Source organism: Homo sapiens, chromosome 8 (assembly GCF_000001405.40).
Source record: "Homo sapiens chromosome 8, GRCh38.p14 Primary Assembly".
Lineage (NCBI taxonomy): Eukaryota > Metazoa > Chordata > Mammalia > Primates > Hominidae > Homo > Homo sapiens.
In genome coordinates, this window is record NC_000008.11 from 76,400,588 (window position 1) to 76,426,538 (window position 25,951).

The window sequence follows — 25,951 nt, forward strand, 5'->3', positions numbered from 1 at the left end:
TGTATGCATTGCGTGTGATGCATTGTGTGTGTATGCATTGTGTGTGTGTGTGACGCATTGTGTGTGTATGCATTGTGTGTGAATGAATCTTACATAGGATATATCCATTGTGATACAGAAAACTAATTTTATAGATTAAAAATTGATTTCAATAATTTGAAATAACTTATAATAATGAGTTTCATAGTACTAGATGTGAGAATTCAGTGAAGGCACTGAATTAGAATGTGACTAAAGGCATATATTGCCTACATGTTGGTTTGAACATTGCAACTCTACTTATTGCTAAGGCAATAGCAATAATAATAATAATAAAGCAGAGAGGAAGAAACAAGTCATTAGTCCTTCATGGTTGTCCCTTTAAATTCACGATGTGTGTACTGTAGGATGGTCTGTAAAAATGAAAGAGAAGACAGATGTCAAGGCAGAACCCAGCATAAGTTTGGATGGTATCCACCAGGAGGAAAATGCTTTATAATTGGTAAATACTATAATCAAATATGTTAATTCACATTACAAGGATTTAGAAGTCAAGGCCCATCTGTGTGAAACAAATATCGCCAATAAATATGTTTTCCCACTTGTGTTATCAGAGGATCAAATAGTAATTTCAACCACAGTTCAAAGATAAGCCATATGTTAAAAGGTCTCTCACATCTCAAGGGCAGTAGCGTGTTATGTAGTCGTATTTTCAGAAATAATAGGGAAGTTGCTTTCAAGCAATTGTTCATTATTTCCTATTTTCCTTTTCACAGTCTTTTAACTGATCTTATGTGTGTGGTTCTATCTGTTAGTTCACCATAGTTTCAGAGGTACCATTGAATCTCTCTAGAATGTCATTGTTATTCATAGTTTCTGATTTATAAAGAGTGCAAATGGGATTGATGTATTCTGTCCCCACATCAGGCTCTGCCCTTCTTTATTTCCCTTTAAAACATTTCTGGAAGCTTATGAAATCTACAATTATTCCTCTTTGGGCACTTTACAATACAACTAAAAGTATATTTTGAAATACAGCATTGCTCATGCAAGCATTGTTATTGATTATGCAAAACAAATCTGCCTGTTATGGTGCACATATTGCAAAAAGAGATGCTATATTATGTGGACTGTGTTCTCTGTTGATGAAAAACATGTACCTGCTCACAGCTCTGATTCCAAAGGCCCAATTTACTAAAAATTAGTGATCCATCAGATTAATGGGCATAAAGCAATCTGCACTGTTGGCACCTCGAAATTTCTTGCATCAGTCACCAGATCATGATTTACTAATAGGGTTTCAGATCTTGCAAAATAGCACAATTCTAACCACATATTAATATTTAATCTGGCATTTTAAGTGCACCTAACAAAAGACCCTAGAGCTGCTGACAGGACCCTAAATTGTGAATTTCTTAAAAGGGAATTGAGCAGGTCCGTAGTGATTTCATTAAAAAAATAAAAAGAAAAAGGAAAATAAATGTTTCTACATTTCTTATGTAGACGTCACAAGCCTGGGCTGTCATTTTTCTAAAAAGTATTTATCATGCATTTTTAGGTGCTTTATTAGAGAATCACAAGACTGGATCTAGCGGCTGGCTGCAAAATGTACAATTTGATGACAGCCGATGCATTTTGGTTAATAAATTTTATATTAGACAATTTGTTCCTAAAATAATTAATTGGCACTTCCAAAATGTTGCTAAATGAGAGATGATACAGCCTATAAATCACTTGAATCACCTTATTTCTTGCTTTTAAGTAACTAAATCTGTTCTGTAGTAGTGAGTTGAAGCTTCTCAGTAGGCAAGCATGTTTGCTCTACAATCTCAGGTTCATAGCTCTAGATTACCATCAATGCCAAATTCCAGAGATATCCAGATCCATTTCAAATCAGAAAGTTCAAAAGAAGGGAGAGTGACCTTACCTGCTGATGTTATCAATTATATGCAATTATTATATTTAACCAATATGATGAATACACCAAATAGGTGTTGCATTACTTCCATTTGTGAAAAACGTCATAATTTATGAAAGATATTTCTGTAATAACAGGATGCCACCTGTAATAACAGAATGTTTATTAGTGCACAAATGAGCGTTATAAATGATGTTGCTTATCTATGGAACAAAACACAAAAGACAACTTATTAGCCAAAGATAAATTGCCCAGCACAATCTCAATGAGATGCTAGGTTTGTCATGAAAAAAAAAAAAAGCTTTTTATTTGCACAGACCAATGCGTTTATAATCCATTTAAAATAATATACTTGCCACTAGGTGGCTATTTCTGATCAGATCATTTTACCATTTTAATTACATTTTTAATATCCTGGCTGCATAAACAAAGATAAATTACAAACCCTGCACAATCTGGCTGCTAGCTCAGGCATAGTCAGTAATAATATCAGCTTTTGTTTGGGCCTCCTCTAATTAGATTCTGAAATCTAGGCTTTGTCAATCAATAATTTTAATTTTAGAATCGCTTTTTGATCTTGCATTTCATGTTTGTTTGGGAAAATGATCAGTAGGACAAAGCTGATAATTTATGCAGAAACAATCTCTCAGCAGAGCTACATGCACATTCCTCCCCATCAACAGAAGCCTGCAGACTAAGCTTGACACAGGTCTAATTAGCATGCAGATATGTCGCCTCATTGGCAATTCAAATTGCTTTTATATAATGTACCTCAAATTGTGCTACTCAAACATTGTATTTGATTTCCAAAGCCCCCTGGGCATCCCATAATGTCTCCCTTCATCCTGGGTATGAAGCATTTATTGAACAATCTGCTGAGACTGGCTGTCTTTTCGAAAACACCCAAACATCGTATTCCTGGGACCAGCTTTTCTTCTTGTCAGAGAGCAACTTGTTCTTCTGCGGAATTCCTTGTGCCACATTTGTAGGTTTAGAGATGACATGCTACCTCATGAGTTGCTTCTCCCACGTGGTTGATCTATAGAGGGCTTCACTCCTGTGCCACTCATTTTTAAAGTGGGGGAGAATGTCTGGTAAGCACACATTAATATGCAGCACATAACCACATCTCTGAATGCCAGTCCTCCATTCTTCATTAAACAAAAATGGCTAGATTGCAGGGATTGTTTTTCCTTCCTCCCACATACATATGCACACACACTCACATTTGCTTTCTTGGGCACACCTACATGCACGCAACCACATTCACGCGCATCTACACACCTATGCAAGACACCCACAGCATATCATTGTCAGGATGGAGTTACGTGTGAAAGTTGTCTGCTGCACACATGACAAATAAGGGGATTCCAGCATACACTGGGGCTTTTTAAAAATTCATTTTTTTAACCATGCAGCAACAAGTGGCAGAATCAATGGTGTACAGTTATTCAGCAATGTAATTCATTTCACTGGCTTTGGCTCCTAGCCAGATCCGCCATCTGTCTCTAGCTCTCCCTCTCCCCCTCTCTCTCCCTCTCCCTCTCTTTCGCTTGAATTTGTCCTACATTTCGTAATGTTACGTGCCTGCCATCCTTATCCTATGCCAGAGGTACAACACCAGTCTCACCCCCATTCCGGCGTGGAGTTCTCTGAGTTCGGTGGCACTTGGGATATTCCACTTCAGTGCCATGGGAAGAAAATGGTAAGCAAAAAGCAAAAGGAATAATGCAAAAAAAAAAAAAAAATTATAATGTTGTGGTATCCAATTGCTCCTGCTTCAGCCTTTTATCCAAAGCCTTGAGATGGATCTGCCTCATCCAGGAAGTTTTCCTGCTTCGTTAGAGTATCTTCGTTTTCTTTATCAGACGCTGGCTGGCACTCCACGCCAGTGCACGGCTCCATGGAATGCCTGCTGTTGGACACTTGCAGAGCTCTGCCACCAAGCAACCTCCTGCATTGGAAATCGGGGGACTACTCCAGGATCTTATGCGTGCTTGCTGTTTGAAGCTGCAGAAAAGTGAATAATCAATTAAGTATTGATTTCTTGTAAGATTTGGTAAATTTCAAAGGCAAGACAAAGAGGATGGCTTAAGGAAACACTGCAGGGACTTGGCGTAAATTAGACAACTAACGGAAGCGCAGAATAAAATAACACCTCAACTGAAGATTTCCTTGGAAGAATTAGCACTAGCTATTGGAAGACAATGGTGGATTTAATCAAAACAGCAGGCATGCAAGAATTTTACCCGTGAACCAGAAAAAGGAGCTAATTATAACCACCTTTTTAATGGAGCTAATTTGACTGAATGGATGCAAATGTGCTTTATTTATGGATGAAGAAGCAAGCCTTACTGCATGATCTTGGGATCATCGGATCTGCTAAGCTTTGCAGCTCCTGTTACCTTCAGTACATTTTTTATTTCCGGAGAAGGTATTTGTATGTAAACAACAACTAACCATGCAAAAGATTCATCGGAACAATATACTGTGGTATATGAGATATAATCATAATTTTGCAGCCTCTCAGGATTTCCTCTAACTTGGAGGTTTTGCAACCTTTGTGTGCAATGGGTTATGGTAAACAATAAATGAATGATGCTAAAGTGTTGTGATTTTTCAATGTGTAGTTTGTTAATTTTAGCTTTCTTAACATATTGATTCTGAAGTATTTGCAATAAATCCATATGAAAGAAAGGGAATTGTTGGGTGGGGTTTTTTTTTTAATGCATTTTCAGTCTTCTTAGAGATCGGAATGTGTAGGTCCCACCAGCCCATGAGCTCTATAATTATAAAAGAATGGTAAAAAATTTGACAATTTGAAGTACTGGTTTTATAATGGGAACAATGTGTTATAATCAGCAAAAGGAGACTTGTTATGTTTTCTCTCTGTGTAGAATGTTCTTGAGTGGTTAACTCCTCTGTTGCTGATGAGAAGTAAATACCAGGACTGGCAATAAGCAGAGATTGTAAGGACAATGCTTTGTTCCTATGCATCCTCCTATTTCAAGCTAAAGTGCATTTTAAGCATTTCCTTCTATTTCTATTATTTTCCTTTCTATTTTTGTTCTTTTCATCATTTTTTTCTGTCTTGCAATCTACGTTCCCTGAGCAACCATAGGAACCAAGTTACATTAAGCTTCAACACAAAGACCTTGTAAGAATAATGAATCCTCATTTGCATCGACATTTGTATTCAGATTTGCCAGGCTATAAACTTGGCAGATCAAGCGGAATATTAAGTAGAGGCTTCCATGGTAAATTGTGGCTCTTGAAATTGCTAACTACCCCCTCCCCTTTTTTTTCTCTCTATCTGTGGTGGCAGGTGAAGTCTCATGACTACTTGCTTCTTAAGAAGCGTATTGGCTCCTTCATCTTTCATTATATGATGCCAGTTTCAAGCAGAAGAGGGGCAAAGCCGGTAGTAGGTGTGCTAGTTGAAGGTACAAAATGACATGTGACTGTAGCATTAATTCTAGAGTCCATATATCACAAGAGGTGTCTTTAAGTAGTTGAAGCTGTAAGAAAATTAATTCTCATGTGTGGGCTAAGGTTTGATCTTTCTGGTATGTTCAAAACGCATTAACCTCATGAAAGTTCACACTCATTTTTTAAAGCTTCTAAAGGTTGGAGGAGGACCAAGGTAGCTCTTTACTCACAAAATAATTCAGTTACACCATTCTGAGTCATCGTCACTGATCTACTCATGCCCATTCTTGAAATATTTTAAATGCCTCATTCTATTAAGCCTCCATGGATTGACTGACTTAATCCTTAGTTTTGCTTGATTCTGAAATGGTAAAATAGGAACAGTTATACTTACTGCTAGCAAACTTATAAATTCAGCAGTATGACCTATAAGGTCATTTCTACAACACAGCCAACAATGGGGTGAAAAATGTAGACTTTAATTTCCATGCTTGGTCCACCCTATGTGATGCCAAACAAGTGAGTAATTGGAAACATTTGTGCATAACTTAATTTTTCATGCATTACCCCAGTGTTTCAGATTTCTGTAAACAGAGCCTAAATCTATGACCTATTAACAAACTCTCACTTCTTGCCATCCCTTTTTCTCTCTAGAACTTTTCACTAGTGGGGAGCAACAAAACATATTAGAACTAACAAACTTACAATGGACATTTAATAGTGGTTTTCCTTTCTATTCTATTTTTTAAAATGTAAATGGAGTAAATGATAAAATGTAGACTGAATTTATCATAAAGACATTTTCTTTTGGTATACTGCAAGGAACTATGAACTTTTAGTAACTACTATAAGCAACTGACAGGTAAGTCTTACTCTAGATTGAGGTAAAGTTTAATTGCATATGGAAAAAATGGGAGAATGTTTCATGAAAGATGCTATACCTTTTTTTGAAAAGCATACCAGCAAGTATGTAGAATAAGGAGAAATATTTTATAAGTTTCCATAAACTTGTAAAAATATGTATAATAATCTTTCCATAGTGTATACTGGTATGATATTAACAAATCACAATGTAGCACATTTTAAAGTGGGGTTTTAGCTATTTTTCTTAGTAACTGAGTTTTAAATCTGAGAAGAAAAATGTAAATTATAACTTTTTGGGAAACTATATGCTTGTATTCCACAATCTAACTTTTAAGGAAAATAAACTATTTGATAGTTTGGTGCTAAGTATCTCTACTAATGAAAAACAAGAGTATTACCACTAACTGGCAATACTGTACTTGTATATTTACTCTTTTATGTGAAAAGATGGAAGAATGATAACTAACATAAAGTTGCCTTGATCTAGTAATAACAGTAATCTGATTACTATCAGAGTTAGAAACAATATTTAAATGGAACTCTTTTTCTGGGGTCCTAATGATAACATCTGATGACAGAGTATAACCATCAACTTCATAACACAATGCAAGCAAAGATTGGAGACTGATATATTAGTTTGAAACAATGTTATTTATCCATGTTAAACAAAGACATGACTGCATCATTTTTAACACATATTTGCTATTTCACATGAGTCTGAAATTCAATTTATTAGGCTTCAAAATGATATTTTTTCTAATAGATGGTGTTGACCATTTTATTTAAAAAAGTAAGAATACATTTGGTTATATTCAAAGAATATATTTTGGTTGTAATTCAAATAAGATTTAGAAAGGAAAAGATTTATATTTATACGTTTCTTCAGAACTGCCCATCAATTTGAAACTGTCTTCTTTAATAAATGCTAATGATTTGGTTGATTACGTTTGTGCATGTACTTACCATGCAGTTTTGGGAATCAACACACTGATGAATCTCTATCAAGAAGAGAAATTATATCATTAGCTCATTTGCTTTCTAAGCAGCAGGAGTGAAAATTCTATCCAAAATAATATTAATGATACTGTTTTAACATCCACACAGAAAAGCATGTACGATTTCTTATCAGTGTTTTGTAGATATGGTTCATATTTATTGGCTATTATCTCTTCCTTCTGTGTAGGAATACAACTGGGTACATATTTTAAACCAGAAAATCAAAACCAAAACCAAAAACAAACTAAAATGCCAACTTAAAACTGAAGTGTCTCATCCAAGTTTGAGAAGGGAGCAAGCCTATTTGTGCCCCTTGCATAGGAAAATAGTAAGATGACATGAGTTCAGGGCAATTTCTCTGTGTTATCTTTCTGTTTATATTAGAGGATTTTTTACTAACTGGTCAAAATGCACATTATTGTTACATTTTTCCCACCATAACTTATGTAGCCACTGTTATACTAACTAGTAAGGTTGTTAGCCAGAGGAACAAGGCCCAGAAAACAGGGCCGAGCATTCCAGGGCCAGTAAGTCCTTGTCCTGTATAGATTAGAGCAGTGGAGCCCCATGTGTGTTAAACTGAGAACTTGAGCCTTGCTGAATTTAACATTAACATGTTTTGTTGGTCTTTTTAGTAGGGTAGCTGAGGGCTTTGCTGTGTTTATAAAGCACTCAGAATTGTAAGACTTAGGCCACAACATTTAGAACACACACACATTCATGACTTGACTTTTAAAGTCAGTTTAATATTTTCACTTTTATTAAGAAGGAAATCATCAACAGCACTGTTTTGATTACATTTTCTTCATTTTCTTCTACCCAAATAACGAACGGGAAATTTCTAGACCTATAAGAATACACATGTACATATCTTTGAATAGATAAAATTATAAATATAAACATATTTATTTAAGTAGTTATATATAAACTATATAAATATATATAAACAGTATAGATATACAAAATAGTATAATAATTTATTCTCAACTATAGGAAGATATGTAGATAGATACAGATAGATATATATCTATATACATATAGATATTTATATGACGTCAGTCTCAAGCAGAAGAAAGGAAAGCCAGTAGTAGGTGCTCTAGTTGAAGACACAAAATGACATGTGACTGAAGCATTAATTCTAGAGGACATATATAGATATTTACATCTATAGGTGGATAGATAGATATAGGTATAATTGCTTTCCTCTCAGATTTTAAATTGTATATACATCATTGCTACTTAGAGAACTATTAACAGTTCATAACTACAAATTCTTTCAATTAAGAATAGAAAATGTGTGTGTACTTATATGGTATATGTATTTGCGTACATATGCATGACCAAAAGTGTTTGATAGTAAAAATGCATGATTGACATATATAGACATCAAGAAATGACGAAATCAAAGTAGAAGATAGAAAACATCCCCAAAGCATAGGATCAAATAAAAATTATTCTTACTTTTGGTATCACCTGACAGTCTCTATACTTAAATAAAAACATAGGTTTAATTTTTATATTTAAATACTTAGTCTGATCCTTTTCATAGTTTGTAGAAGAGACCATTCCAGGAATAAATAGAAAGACTTACTAATATTTCAGTAATTTTGAGATCACTTGGAAGATTTTACTTTAATCATGAAAAAAACACATATTCTATGACAATTACAATGACATAAGAGAATTAAATTAATGTGTATTTAAATCTCTGCCTTAAGAGTTCCTTTTAAATACTAGTTACTTAAAAGTAAATTGGAGCAAGATTTTATACAAGTAATATATACTTTGTGTTACCCATTGTTACTGTAAATAATTTTAAATAATCATTCAAAATCTTTTTTAAATACTCTCATTTCTAAATATACTGAAAATTGTTAAGTATAATGATACTCATCTAGGTAGCTGTAAGAAAACAATAAAAATTCTTATTTTTATTTCAACTATTATCTTCATCAAACTAGACTACATTCTTTCCCAGACACCTGAGGCATAAATCAAACATCTCTCTCCCTTTTCTCTCTGCAAGGACTCACCTACAACCAGTTCAATTCTTTTTTTTCAATAAAATATTCACAGATTGACTACTCTCTCACCTGTTGGACATTCTGACATTAGTAGGCAAGCCTCAATTTCAGGACCTAACTTGAAATGGACAGCCTCTCAGAAAAACATTTTTTTTTCTAATTTTCTTATTTTGATTAATCTTCCAAGATATTGCGCCAGGTTGGTCAGATATAATTTCAGGTGTGGGAAGGGCTTCCTGCCCTAAATTTTAAAATACCACCCAAACAACTTCACAGTTTCCTCTGAAGGTGCTACTCACTCCTCCTTTGTTCGTGTAGGTAATCACATCTCAGCTGAGTCAGTTTCACATCTTCAGTCAACGGCCGTGTTCTTCATTCCTTAGTCCTCTTTCTAAATGAATTTACCTTCTTCCTCTTTCATTAAACTATTTATCATTTTGAATATTTTATACTGTCCCCTAGTCTGCTCTTTTCGTTGTTATTAATGCTGAAAAGTACCCTTTACTTTAGAAATCCGACCTCTTTCATGAAGCTATACTGATCAAGTAGCTATAAAATATATAAATTATATAAATATATAAATCTCATAGCCTGTATGATGATATGGGAAGATGCCAATGAAAGGAAATGTATCATGTACATGTAACTCATGATTGCTGTACATTTTGCTGTTTGAAAATGAGAGAAATAGTTTTACTTTATAGCTATATATATATATAAAACAATGCAACACAGATGCATGGAGCCTGTGTTTTGTGTTATGCACTTTTATAGAAGCTTTATGACTATAAAGGTGAGCTAGACAGAGAAGGTAGGCAAACTTTTAAAGTAGTAAACAATACGAAAATCTGCTCAGGAAGATATACACAATCTTACAGCTAGACATTTTGTTCATTCTTATGCACATATTGAAGGTCTTTGGGAATTCAAATTACAATTCAAAATGCTACCTAAATAAATCATAACCTTTCTATTCTAATTTCATTTGGTAACCCTGTGGTGGTTCAACTATCCTTAGCAAATGACAGCTTAGAACAGACTACTTTACGCTATTAAAAATCACTGAGATTATAACAGCTTTTGTTTATGCAGATTATAGTTAATCACATCTACCATATTATAAAATAAAATAGAAATTATATTTTAAAATTATTCCTCAATTAATTTAAAATAACTATAAACACATTAAATGTTAACATAAATAGTATATTATACTAAAACAATTATATTTTTCAAAATGAAAAAGCAAGGAAAATGTCATTGTATTACACTTTAGCGAATGTTTTTAACATGGCTTAACACAAGATGCTGAATTTTAATACCTGTTGTTACATTTAGTCTTGCAATATTTTATTTGGGTGAGGTTATGAGGAAAATCCACGTTTCCAAAAATATATAATTGAAAAAAATGAAGGACATTTTAGTAGACTTTTCAGTTAATTGTAGATATTCTTCTTTGATAAACCAAACATCAACAAGTAGTCATTTCTTTAAAGTTAGTTGCAACAGGGAATGAGAAACCATATCAATGAATATTTCACTCAGGTTAAAATCTATCAACTATCTTGCATTTTTAATGGATCTTTGACCCATGTATAATTTTGTAGCACCATGAATTGGTCTTTTATTAAATATTGGTTCACTGAGTTATGCAAATTTTGACACATTTCATTATCTAGTATCAAAAAATAATCACATGTATTAATATAACTTCTATGATCTTATCAGAAATGTCATTAAGTATTGGCAATCTGTCATGCTCATGGTGGCAGATATAAATTCTCCAAAATTCTAATTCTCCTTGAACATTAAAATGTTATTATTGACCACAAACACTGTGAGTTGTTTCACTTGTTGTAGATATTCAAGTAGATATTTGTATAAAAGGGGCTATTTCAGCTCAAACTGAATCACACAACTCCTTTACCGCAAAGTAGCCATCACAGTTAGTACTTCGGTATGTAGCACAAGTTCTTTATGGGCATTTCCTAGTTTGTGATATAAAGTATTAAAAATATACATAACTAAGAGAAAACATTTAATTAAAGTAATTGCTTCTTCAAAGAGCAACAACATTATTTTTGTTAGTGGAAATGTATCATCTTTGCCCAAAATGAAGAACACAATGATTTCTAGCAAAGTTTGGTGCTGTTGATTCATGCTAAGAAGCCAAGACTACTAAGGCTCCAGCATTGCCAGCAAACTTCAACCCAAGAAAAAAAGTAAATAACAAAAGTATTGATATAAAAGTGGTTTTGGACCTCAAGGACTCCTTAAAAATATGTCAGGGCTCCTCAGAGGTCTGGGCCTATGCTTTGAGAATCACTAGCCTAGAAAAAACTAAAACATCTATAAATATTTTCTAATCATTTACTAATAATCTGATATTCAGTATCACATAAAATTAACTAGAACTCACTACCACCTGTAACAACACCTGTCATTTCTAAATTGTTTTGCAATGCATTACATATGTAATTATATATATATACATATGATGTTCTCATAGTGTACATACTTGTTTATATGTATACATATATATTTTGTTTAATCCTTTCAAAAACCCAATGCACTATCACCATTTTTTAAAAAGAGAAAATTACAGCTGCATTTAATGACTTTTTCAAGGTCACAAGACCTATAAATGGCAGAATCCAGATTTATATCCGGATTTTCCGAAGTTTAATGTTCTCATTTTACCATAGCTGTTAAAATAACTCTTTCACAGCCTCCTCTAATTTAAGGAATAGTGAACAAGTCCTGTACCATCAGCTTGTTAGCAAGTCTCTATTTAAGCACTATGAGAAAATTATATGTATATGTATAAATCTTATTTCAAGTCCTTTATGGCATGGAAGTCCCACATTATTTCATCACTGTTCAAAATTGCACTATAATCATGTGATATTCCTCATCATGACTAGTTTTCTTAACTGCCATAATGATTGATAGCTGATTTGGTCATTATATTGGCTAAAATATCACCAACCAGTTCATGGTCCAGTTATTTCAACCTTGAAAACGACCATTTCAAATCAGTGTTGTGATCTATTCAACTGCATACAGGTCAGCTTTAACTGTGTTGACTAAGAAAAACTTACCTAAATCTTAGGGGGTACAGTAATACAGGGACAGAAGTTTAAAAATAATTTCTGAAATTTATGAAGTGCTTTTGCATAAAACTTTTCAAGTAAAGGCAACAGAAGCCCTGAATACTAGCCTTGATGCTAACTATTTAGCTATGTTAAAAAAGTGTTTACCATGGCCCGGGCGCGGTGGCTCATGCCTGTAATCCCAGCACCTTGGGAGGCCAAGGCGGGCAGATCACGAGGTCAGGAGATCGAGACCATCCTAGCTAACACAGTGAAACCCCGTCTCTACCAAAAATACAAAAAAATTAGCCGGGCATGGTGGCGGGCGCCTGTAGTCTCAAAAAAAAAAAAAAAGTATTTACCATTACTATGCCTTGGTTTCCTTGTCCATATGATGAGAGAGAATTACTACATGATTTGTTTCTCTTCTATTTTAATATTGTACAATTGTGCATAGAAAAAATGTACACCTCCCCTTGCACATTCATAATTTTCTTAATTTAAAGTAAGTATTCTTTTCATGCCAGTCTGACCTCACACTCTATAGTGAAATCTTTAAAATCCAATTAATTACCCAAATTTACAAGTGAAAGTTTTATAGAAGCACTTTATCGGCCTCTTAAACCTCCTTAAAGTATGATGTTTAACAAAATATACTCAAACACTGCTTTCTTTCACTAAATAAAAATGAAATTGTTTTTATAATTGTTTTATAATATTTATGTCATTATAAATTTGATAAATGGAGATTGATTTCCTCTTTTAAAGATGAAGTATAATCCATCCTGAAATATTAATAAGAAACCTTCAGAACAATGTTAGGGTGGGGAGGGGCAGATAAGCAAGTTTTTTGTTTGTTTGCAATTATTGAAATTATAGAGGTAGAATCCTTCCAGAGACAGAAATATAATCACAATTATCTGGCCTGTAAAGGAATTGTTTTTATTTATGTAGCCAAAGGACAGCAAATTATAGGTATTGAGAGCCCTTTTTACAGAGAATCTTCTTTTGTATATCTATAGTATTTGTTATTTACAACATTTCCCCCTTCTATCTAATATTGGAATCAGAGGCATCCTATTACCAATGAGAAAGTGTTTTAAAAATCAGACTATGCTCTGAAACCTGGGCTTTGATGCTTGCAAACTACAGGAGTGTGATCTGGTGTTTTGCCCTTTCTAAATCTTGATGGAAGACAATAAACCAGTTCTCTCTAAGCTACTGAGAGACATGCAGGCAGTATCTTCACGGTCAGGTCACTGCTGTGCCTTCCACACAGCTTACTCTACCTCTGGATGGTGAGAAGATGGGATGGCACATCGTAGGCAATCAATGCACAGCGGTTTCCCCGTGCTTTCATGCTATCCCTGAAGCTAAACTGTGAACTTGTAAAAATGGAAATGGCATCTTGATTTGTGGAGTAATGTGGGGACATGGTTATAAAAATATTAACTGAAGATAGCAAACAAAAGTTTTATAGCCATTATTTCAATTGTACGCACAAAACAAACACTGGGGAGAGGCCATTGTATGATTCTCATTAGGTGACTGTTCAGATAAGTTAAGGTACATCAAAACAATAAAATACGATGTAGCAATTAAAATAATAATGTAGTGCTTTAATGCGTTTATATGGAATAATTTCCAAGATACGTTAAACAAAAAAGCAAGGTGCAGAAGAATGTATATAATGTGCTCCAATGTATGTAAAGATATGTACAGTAAGGCTGGGTGCGGTGGCTCACGCCTGTAATCCCAACACTTCGGGAGGTTGAGGCGTGCGAATCATCTCAGATCAGGAGTTCAAGACCAGCCTGGTCAACATGGCAAAACTTCTCTACTAAAAATACAAAAATTAGCCAGGTGCAGTGGCTCATGCCTATAATCTCAGCTTTTTGGGAGGCTGAGGCAGGAGAATCACTTGAACCCGGGAGGCGGAGGTTGCAGTGAGCCGAGATCATGCCACTGTACTCCAGCCTAGGGGACTGAGTGAGACTCCATCTCAAAAAAAAAATACATATATGTGTACATATATGTATATATATATATGTGTGTGTGTGTGTCTGTGTGTGTGTATTATATATATGTATATACATACAGCAGTATCCCTATCTTCCAGGGGTACTTTCCAAGATACCCCAGTGGATGCCTGAAACCTTGGATAACACTGACCCCTGTATATCCTATGTATTTTTTCCTATCCCTACATACCTATGATAAAGTTTAATTTATAAATTAGGTACAGTAAAAGATTAAAAACAATCATAAAATAGAAAAATTATAAAAATATACTGTAAAAAATAGTCATGTGAATATGTTCTTTCTCAGTTTCTCTCAAAATGTTGTAATATTTTTGGACCTTGAATTGAAACCACAGAAAGCAAAACCATGAATAAAGGGGAATTACTGTACATGCATTTAATGGAATATGCAAATAATGATGCAAGGATCACAAACTAATAAAAACAGTTGTCTCTGTGGGAAAGAGTTTAATTTTCACCACATATGCTTTTGCATAGTTTGTTGCTTTTTAAACATGAGTACACTAATTTTAAGATAGAGAAGAGCAAATGTTTTGATGTAAAATAGAGAGGATTTATGTATTTGTAAGGCAAATCCTTGATATACTCTCCACCCAAAAACAAAACAAAAGTTGACAAAAGATCAATTTGTCATGAATTGCTTATATCTTGTAAAACCAAAGAAAATCTATTTTTAAAAATTTCAACCCATGAATGCATTAATTTAAAACAGAGCTATAAATGCAGAACAGACAGAGTCAAAGTGTATTGCTAAAAGGATTGCCAGATAAAATATAGTATTTTTATTTTCTAACTCGGTCAGTGCTAATTGCTGGAAGGTGAAAAATCTTCTCAATTCTTAAGATTATAGAGGCCATTTTATACATACATACATATATATACACACACATAAAACTATATATATAAATCTTAATGTTTGCATTGAATATATATAGCCATTATTTACATAATTATATATAATGTAATATATATTTGCCATTATATATATATATGAATGGCATATATATATGTCATTTGCCATTATGTATATATATAAACTGGCCATTTATTTGGCCATTATTTGCCATTTTATACATATATATGCCATTTATTTGACCGTTATTTGCCATTTTATATAAAATGGCTATACATAAATCTATAAAATGGCAATATATATATTCAATTTCAAACATACATAGAATACATTGAATATATAATTGAATATGTATTGAATACAGATATAGAATATATATTTATATATAAAGGCAGTATATATTTAATATACATTGAACATATACATTGAATATTTATATAGCCATTGTATATCATTATAATGACTACATATAGTCAATGTCAAACATTAAGATGTTTTCAGGTAGTCCATTTTCTATTATTGTTTAGATAAAATACACTATGCTATTTTATTTGGAGTTTTGAAATGATGTTTTTGAAGTTAGACAAAAATAATAATAAAAGGTTCTCCCAGGTTTAAGGCATTAAAAGTTTATCCAACATGTAATCTGGCTACAATCTATCTTTTCAAATTTATATTCCCATATTTTCTTATTATCCCACTATGTTACCAACAAATTAATTCTTCCTATGGTTTAGCAAACATGCCTTACCTGCTGAATACTCATTCAGCGCTGACTTTTATACCTTTCTACCCATGTTAAAGGGGCTCATGGATCTGAAATGTCAAGAGTCATTTTACTCTAACTGCTTCAGTTGAAAGGTTCTCTTCCTTCTGTGATCTCATTTGCAGAGTGCTTGTTTTACAATGTATTCTATTACTGCAATGTGTGCACATGGATAAATAGAAGCACCATGAAAGTAGGAAGCAATCATTTCATCCAAATCTTTAATTGCTACATGTGTTCCAGCAGCCTGGCCTAGTATCTTCACAGAGGTTATAACCAACAGAGTCCAATAGATGTGTACGTGAATGGTAATGGATAGTTTAGTTCCTCTGAAGGTTAAATTCCAGTCAACTTTGAACCTTTAAAGAAATCGCTACCTCAACTCAACATATAGTAATACCTATTTATAGTTTAAAATAGTCATTATATTGATCTTCAACCATATTCTTTCCAGGCTAAAGTAAAAGTTAAATTCCATGTGCTTTACTTAATATTTCTATTTTATTTTCTAATTCCTTAATAATTCTTGCACTGCTTTTACCAGCCTCCAAGTTATTCAATTGTTCTTTAGGCTGTGGAGTGCAGAGGGGGCATTATATTCTAGTGAATTAGGTCAGTGATGAATGATTTACTTCTTCATGTTCAACGACTTTTGAGTCTTCCCAGTATAATGTTTTACAAAATAGCATATTAATTAACTTTTAGACCTATACATAGTCATTTCCTATATTTGAACAACTTGTTTCTCTTTTAAGTAGTCCTTATTAAGTGATTCTTGCAAATTAATTTAGTCCCTTCTTTTAGCAAGGACATTTTGATTGCTATTTCTAACTACAAGGGGCTATTTCCCTATTACATTGAAGCTATTGTAAAACAGTCATGGTCCGCAATTCGTCCTACCTTTCAGTCAATTATGTTTAAAACAACGATGCTCAAATCCTAGGCTGGTGCTGCTTCATGATGAAGTTTTCACTCTTCCATAGACAGGTAAATAATAGATGCATTGTAATTAGTTTTTTAAATGAAGCTTGATAAAGTTTTTTCTCACTTTTATATCTTAAAGTATTTCTCTCATATACTGGGTAACAGATGGTAGTAATTATTTTTTAACTAACACTAAAACATTGGACACTTTATGCCAGACCCTTCTTTGATTTTTAAAAATATTCTTCCATGGAATACCAATTTGGGAAACCACTAAGTTAACAGTATCCATAGAAGTTGTAATAAGAATGGCTAACACCCAAAAGTTAATTACTATGTGCAAAGGACTGCTCAAAGAACTTTAGCTATATTAATTCAATGTAACAACTCTCTGAGAAACTTGCCATTTAATATGGTTTAGCTCTGTGTCCCCACCCAAGTCTCATGTTGATTGTAATCCCCAGTTTCAGGGGAGGGACCCGGTGGGAGGTGACTGCATCCTGGGGGGCGGACTTCCCCCCTTGCTGTTTTCATCATAATGAGTCAGTTCTCACCAGATCTGGTTGTCTGAAAGGGTGGAGCATTTTTCCCCTTCACTCTCTCTTTCTCCAGCCAGCCATGTGAAGATGCACCTGCTTCCCCTCCACCTTCTGTCATGATTGTAAGTTTCCTGAGCTATCCCCGGAGGCAGAATCCTATAGAGCCCACAGAACGATGAGCCCATTAAAACTCTTTTCTTTGTAAATTACCCAATCTCAGGTATGTCTTTATAGCAGTGTGAGAACAGACTAATACACCATTATTATTCAAATGTTCATGATGAGAAAACTGAAATATAGAGAAGTTAAAAAACACTTCCAAAGTCACACAGCTGCCAAATGAAGGAGCTGGAATTAACACAGGAAAGGTCCTTCAGAGCTCATGCTCCTAACTTCAGTGCTAACCGGCAACTCATGTTAGATATTAAGCCATTTTTATGCCCTGATACTAAAATCGAGCTGCTAAACTGCTTTAATTCTACCACATAGGCATTTGATAATGTTTTCCTACATTTTTTTCATATTTTGAAATCGTTGAGGTAGGATAGAATCTAAAGTCACAATAGATTTCAACCAGTGTCCCTAATGAACACATTTCCCTCACATCGTGTAGCATTCTCTCACTTCTGGCACGGCATGTTGATTTTTAAGATAATTCCTTTGGGAGTTCTCTCAACGTGCAAGAAACAGAATTGCAACTAGTCTGTGGAAAATCAGAAGTTTATCCTAGGGCCCTAAAATTTAGAGCACATAAGCTTTGAAAATAACAATTTTTTAAGGTTGCCATGTCATTAGCAGAGGTCATGAATTAAAATAGGAGCATTAGTGCCACATCAAAGATGACTGAGCAACTCCACCCCCAATGTAAGCACAAAATATAAAGATATAATTAAGAAAAAAAAATTAAGCAAGCTAAAAAGAAAAAATCAGTGCTAGGAAATAAAAATAAGAAACAGCCAGAGTAGTAAGTAACCAAGCTCCTATCCTTGGGGTCAAGGAGGATCCTATTAGATTTAGGCCCTAACACATAGTGATTGTTATTTTAAAGGTCATGTAGGGATAAAAGAGAAAACACACATCTTGAGTCTGAGGTGAGGCAGGGAGCATAAAGCTGGAACCCTTGTAGTCCAGATCCATTATCACTCTAGAAAACTAATAGCTCAGGGAAGTAGATGGGGACCTATCTCTGCCTGGGACTCTGTATGGAAGAAAAAGATAAAGTCAGTTGAAAATAAATTAAAATGCAAAGCCTATACCATGCAAGTATGTGGAGTTTGAATTTCTATTGCTCAAAATATGGTTATCTGAGACTGAGAAATTAAGATAAAACTGCCATCAAAATATGAAAGCTTTTATTCATTCGGGACTTCAACGTTAACCATCCACATCTTATTCCAAGGGACTTAGGGTGGGAAGGGTGAATGAATCAACTCTACTAGAAAATGAATCCACAATAAAAAGAATCATAAGCTATACGATAAGACAGACTTATAATAACTTGAGACAAATAATTTGAAAGATGATACTATACAAATATTAATGAAAGAAATAAAAATGAAATAGAAACCTTAATAAAATGACAGCTCACTGTGAAGAATAGAATGTCTAGAAAAAAAATACTGAAATTTAAAATTCAATGAATGATTTAAACACCATATTAAATACAGCTAAAAAGTTAATTTGTGCTGGAAGGTTTGTCTGTGAAATTTACCTAGAATGAGATAAGAAAAATTTGAGAAAATTTGAGGTTGTGAAGGACAGAATAAGCAAATCCAATATATATTTAACAGACGGCTGAAAAGAAGTAATTATAAAAGATGTGAGAGGAGGCCAAGTGCAGTGGCTCACGCCTGTTATCTCAGCACTTCAGGAGGTCAAGGCGGGTGGATCACTTGAGGCCAGGTGTTCAAGACCAGCCTGGGTAACATGGCAAAAACCCATATCTACTAAAAATACAAAAAATTAGCCAGGTGTGGTGGCACACCCCTGTAATCCCAGCTACTTGAGAGGCTGAGGCACAAGAATCACTTGAACTTGGGAGGCAGAGGTTTCAGTGAGCTGATATTATGCCACAGCACTCCAGCTGAGTGACAGAGTGACACTGTCTCAAAAAAATAAAAATAAAATAAAATAAAAGGAGAGGAAATATTCAAAGACACAAAAAACTTTAGATTTCCACACAGATAGAATCATACCAATCCAAGTGTTATATAAGTAAAAACAAATCTACACTCAGATATATCTAGTGAAACTGAACAAAACAAAGATACTCATCATCAGTAGCAGAAGCAATAACAGAAAAACAATTTTAGCGTGTAATGCCAGATACTCAGAAAGCTGGGATGGGAGGATACTTTCAGCCCAGAGTTTTGAGACCAGCTTGGGAAACACAGCAAGACCCTGTCTCAAAAAAAGGAAAGACAGTAAAAAATAAAAAGACATAATAATTCTAAACTCCCAAGAGCAAATGACTATCAAATAATAACTTTATACCCAGATAGACTACCATTCAAAGTTAAAAACATTTTCATACAAAAGGAACAATTTTATACTCATACCATCATTAAAATTACTAACATATGTACATCATTAATTTAAAGGGAAAAAAACAGAAGGGGTGGGATGTATAATGCTATACTGAGCAAAAACCAAAGCTAAATCTAAATAAACACAGATTAAAAAGTAAAAACAGTAAAAGTAAAAATCATGTATTTTTAAAATTTAAAGAGTTGAAACTATACAACAATTAGATGAAAGATGGAATAAGAGTAGAGGTATTAAATTTACGGTCCTTTTGTTGTGTTCTCTGATTTGTTTTTCACTGCTGTATCCTCAGTACCAAGGACACAGTAGATGCTCAATAAGTATCTTTTGAATAGATCACTGAACCAAAATTCCATAGTTAAAGGTGACTATAGACATGATCTTCAATTGCATTCCTCATACTCTGAGCACAGCATGTGGTTTGCTCAGGGATCATCTAGAGTGTGCCCATGCATGTGGTCTTTGTAGGCAGCTGAATTCCTAAAAGTGTGATGGCCTTTGAGGTTCACCCTTCTGATCTGCCTTGAAGGGAACATGCTGCACCTGCAGAGTCAACTGACGACCTCCAGCTGCTGCCCCTTCCGATCACCTGTAGCTTTAACGCTGAGGCTGTGCTCCATAGCCTGCTCCCAGTCATAACTGAACACAGCAAGCAGAGGTACCACAGCATGGCAGGTCTGCCCAAGGCGGAACTCCTCACAGGGGAAACTTTGCTGTGGGGCATCCCCGCAGCCTGGCCAAGCTTTTCTGAACCTAACTATAGACCCAGGCTCTTTCTACCTGATCCTTCTTCTTTCCCTCTCCTATCAAAGGTATTAGACATGCATTGAGGTCTAAGAGCTCTCTCTGCCTTCTCTTTCCTCTTCCCACTCCCTTTTAGTCTTCACAGTGACTTCTACCGATAAATCTCTTTTATAACCAAGTTTGTCTTGATATCTGTGTGCATCTTAGAGGACTCACACTGACATATAAGGCAGAAGAGTTTCTTCTCTGGAGACAGAGGGGACCAGGATGAATAGGATGGTCCCTTCATCTGAAGGAACAGCAGTCATGAATTAACTGGGTATACTCAGGGTGTAGACTTCCTGGAGTGGGAAACCTGCAGCATACCTCTTATACATGCTTTGTACCTCGACTTTAGCAGAGCTGAGACATCCTGATAAACAACCAAGTTTCAGGGCTATGATTTTCTTACGTACTCAGTCTGTGTTCTAACTTGGGAAGGCGGTTCAGGCCTAAGAACTTTAAAGTCAATTATCATTCTACTTTATGGCAGTAAGCTATATTACCTGAAAACTCTCATAGACTGACATACTTCTCACTTTTTAAGATTGTTGGAGACAGGTCAAGTTTTCTGGCGTTTTCTAAACCTCACCATCCTTTTGGTGAAATCATCATATTTGTGAGTTATCCATAAATCACAGTAACATCTAAATTTATGAGCCTTACACAGTGATACATTCATTCAGTGCTGTGGTTACATTTGGACCACACACTACCTCTGATACTTTCAATTGAAATTTCCCATTTCTGAACACAACCTCTGATACCTCCAGCTTGCATCATAACGTCATTATGTCACTGAAACTGTTTTTGTCTTTTTATTACTTCTTGCCATGCACTCTTCTATATGCATTCTATGTATCCATTCCCTACTATCCTCACTTCCCACTATAGCCAGCCTATATGCTATGATGGATCATTTTTATATTTTTAATTCTTTATTTCCTTGAAACGTACTGTAAACAACCAAGTAATGAAGTAACACAATGTCAGTAGATAGAGCTAAAAATATGGGATTTGCGCGGGGGGGCGGATTTTTTTTCTTATTACAATGAGGCCCAGCATCATAAGCATTCAGTGGGTCGTAATAGTCACCGGCATAGGTCTCGTCCTTTATAAAAATAAATGATTATTTGTCATTGTTCACTACCCAAAGCAATATTACTTTGTTGCATGTATATTTATATGTTGCACTGACACTTATCTTTATTGAAAGGCTATTATATTTTAGAGTCTAGTGAAAAGTCATGTGGAAAAAAGTCTTCAAGTTGTTTCTAAGTTGTAATTTGCTTAAATATTTTTAGCAGTTCTTTCAATTCTTGATTTTCTATCTACCATGTTATAATATGCCAGCTTTAGTTTTAAATTTTAACTCAATCTTTAGTATAGATTGAATTACTTAAAATAAATCACTGAAAAGCTTACCTTTTTTTTTAATCATTCTTTCTTTCACACACTTTGTTAAAGTCCCAAAAGTTGTTTTGACATTTTTATAGTTTTATTTCTCTCTGGTGCATTATTGGAGCCACAAGGATTGAAAAACTGTGAGTAAAGATCTCTCTTGTACTATTTCTTATATGACAAAGATTAAAACATTATCCAAGATAATTCAATTTTAATTTATATACATTTCTAAACTAGTTCAGAAAACGAGAAAACCATAGAAAATGTGTGGTTACTAAAGCTACTCATCTTAACTTCTTTAAGGTTATTTTATCACATATTGACACACATCATTGCTGGAGTTATTAATAAAAATCAGTTTCGTAAAGTCAAGATAACGTAACAATGGAATGATTTTAGGTACATAAATTATCCAGAATTCATGAACTATGGAAACCAGACCTTTGTGCTCTGCCTTTTCTGACTAATTCACAATAAATAGAGTATCTATTGCTCTGGCTCCTTATGTCCCCTGCTCAGTCTTAAATAGCTAGCCTGGGAATTAGAAGACTTTTTATTTTCTATCAATGTCAGAAAACTCTTTTTTTTTTTTTGGTCTACAAATTATAAAGTTAAATTATAAAGTTAGTCCAATAACTTCTATAAAGGTTATCGGTAACACTAATAGATACATGAAAACTTTTCTATTTTCTTCATAAAGAATCCATACATGGTGGAAAAAACCAGTAATAGTTTTAGAAATAAGAAGAAAATAACAACTTTAATATTTATTTTGGTAACTTAGTGATTTTTTTTTTGCAAATCTTCCTTTAGTAGAGGAATTATATCCTTATTAAATAAAATAAAGCTGGGGCTCATAGTCAAAGGCAAAACACCTTACATAAAGAAGGTTACATACACATACAAAAGAAACACTTAAAAAATCAAGTCTTGTTCCAATTTGTTTAGCCAAGAAACATGTGGAACCCAGACTCTAATTTATAAATTAATTCATATTATCCTTTGACTCTCATGCCTAAAATCACCCATTTTTAAAGAGGAAAAAGTATGCATTCTGTTGCATTTTCTTCACTATTTGATAGATAACTAAAATAATGTATTAAAAATAGATATTAAGTAAAACCTGTCACTGAAATATAGTTATTACATACACAAAAAAATAAAAGAAAAATAAATAAATTCTGTTATCCCAAATAACTGCCTGAGTGGCATGATGGGCTGTGAATGTTTTGAGGCCAAAAGAACACACAAACATTCTTTTTCCACTTCTACTGCATTTTTATATTTCAAATGCACAGAGTGAATCCCTGCTCAGAAAATCACCAGTCCAGAGTACACAAAACCCAGATGTACTTACCACATAGACCTACTCCTGACTCTGGACATGTTATTTTAATCGCAAAATAAATAAACTAAAAGTCTCTCTATTGCAAAAGCCTGACAGAGTCATGTCCGAAGAGCCTAAAAAATGGTCACTAGATTTAAGAAAAGTGGTAGATCATATGATGTTTGGCTAATCTAAGTAACAATTTGTGTGTGTGTGTGTGTGTGTGTGTGTGTGTGTGTGCATGTGAGAAATCCTCAGAAGCAGCAATTATAAAAGCAAAAGTTTTAAAATGCAATTATGGGCACATGCATTTCTAGAGTAATTATGTCTTCTATTTATATGAAAATCTAAACTTACATGAGCCAGGTTAACAATATGTTTAGTAAATTTTCAAAAATTTTATAGAGAAAAATACGTGGGAAAATTCTTGTACTTTCTATTTTGTAAGTTTAGCATGGTATATTTAAACTTTTGCTTCACTATTTTGTCACCTAAAAAATAAGTCAATTATGCATTAATTTTATCTAGTACAAATTAGTTTATAAATATGTGTGGGAGCATATACATACACATATGTATAAATAGCCACATCACACTTGCTATGAATTACCCTTTCCCTGTTTCATAAAAATTATTGTCTCATACTGTGTAAAATCCAGCTGGAAAGTCAGTCTGAGATTTCAGTGACCAGGTAATCTCAACAGAGTATCACCCGGAGACAGTGAGTAACTTTGTGCCAAAAATAGCACTTGATCTCCTGCATCTGCGTCCATCACCTTTGTCCCTGGCTATTATTAACCCATTTATGCCAGAGGTTGCCATTTTTTGAACTTTTACATGAGTGAAAAAATCAGACCTTGGTAATAACCTTGAGCAGCAGGATATAAAAAACTCTCACATTCTTAGCACTCCAATAATGGAACACTAGGCATAAGTGGGTCAGTTCTTCCTAAACTTTACCTTATCACTTATTTTCTTTCCACTGAATGTGAACCTAAGTTGGTAAATGACTAAGTTGCCATGTTTAGTGGTAGATACAGACTTTGGGTTGTTAACTAGATGTATGGGGAGCTGGTTTTTTTTTTTTTTTTTTTTTTTTTTATTATACTCTAAGTTTTAGGGTACATGTGCACATTGTGCAGGTTAGTTACATATGTATACATGTGCCATGCTGGTGCGCTGCACCCACTAATGTGTCATCTAGCATTAGGTATATCTCCCAATGCTATCCCTTCCCCCTCCCCCGACCCCACCACAGTCCCCAGAGTGTGATATTCCCCTTCCTGTGTCCATGTGATCTCATTGTTCAATTCCCACCTATGAGTGAGAATATGCGGTGTTTGGTTTTTTGTTCTTGCGATAGTTTACTGAGAATGATGGTTTCCAATTTCATCCATGTCCCTACAAAGGATATGAACTCATCATTTTTTATGGCTGCATAGTATTCCATGGTGTATATGTGCCACATTTTCTTAATCCAGTCTATCATTGTTGGACATTTGGGTTGGTTCCAAGTCTTTGCTATTGTGAATAGTGCCGCAATAAACATACGTGTGCATGTGTCTTTATAGCAGCATGATTTATACTCATTTGGGTATATACCCAGTAATGGGATGGCTGGGTCAAATGGTATTTCTAGTTCTAGATCCCTGAGGAATCGCCACACTGACTTCCACAATGGTTGAACTAGTTTACAGTCCCACCAACAGTGTAAAAGTGTTCCTATTTCTCCGCATCCTCTCCAGCACCTGTTGTTTCCTGACTTTTTAATGATTGCCATTCTAAATGGTGTGAGATGATATCTCATAGTGGTTTTGATTTGCATTTCTCTGATGGCCAGTGATGATGAGCATTTCTTCATGTGTTTTTTGGCTGCATAAATGTCTTCTTTTGAGAAGTGTCTGTTCATGTCCTTCGCCCACTTTTTGATGGGGTTGTTTGTTTTTTTCTTGTAAATTTGTTTGAGTTCATTGTAGATTCTGGATATTAGCCCTTTGTCAGATGAGTAGGTTGCAAAAATTTTCTCCCATGTTGTAGGTTGCCTGTTCACTCTGATGGTAGTTTCTTTTGCTGTGCAGAAGCTCTTTAGTTTAATTAGATCCCATTTGTCAATTTTGTCTTTTTAATCAAGGAAGGGGACTGGTATTTCATAAATATGACTGGTATTAATTTAAGCTAAAGGCTGGTAAATAATACTAGTAGGTGCTATGTAAATATTTGCTATATGCCATGTACTGTCATAAGTGTCCTGCCTGTATCAACTAATTTAATACCTCAACTATGAGGTAGATAATATTACCGCCATCTGAAGATGAGGAAATAGAAGAACAGAGAGAGTAAGTAAGTAAGTTGAGCAAGGACGTGCAGCAAATAAATAGTGGATCTTGAAATTAAACACAAGCAGATCAACTCTAGAATCCATGCTCTTAACTACACTACACTGTCTCTCAAAATGAAACATCCGTGG

At 34.4% G+C, this 25,951-nt stretch overlaps 2 long non-coding RNA genes across 2 annotated transcripts in view; both read left to right on the forward strand.

The window, feature by feature from the left end:
• Positions 1-3,531: 3,531 nt before the first annotated feature.
• LINC01109 (long intergenic non-protein coding RNA 1109) lies at positions 3,532-4,503 on the forward strand. Its single transcript, NR_170172.1, has one exon. It is a non-coding gene; the product is annotated as a long intergenic non-protein coding RNA 1109 (long non-coding RNA).
• Positions 4,504-6,066: 1,563 nt separating this feature from the next.
• LINC01111 (long intergenic non-protein coding RNA 1111) overlaps positions 6,067-25,951 on the forward strand; it is a 117,703-nt gene continuing 97,818 nt past the window's right edge. The window contains exon 1 of the long non-coding RNA NR_105006.1: positions 6,067-6,188. This is a non-coding gene — a long non-coding RNA (long intergenic non-protein coding RNA 1111). The remainder of the gene's footprint in view (positions 6,189-25,951) is intronic.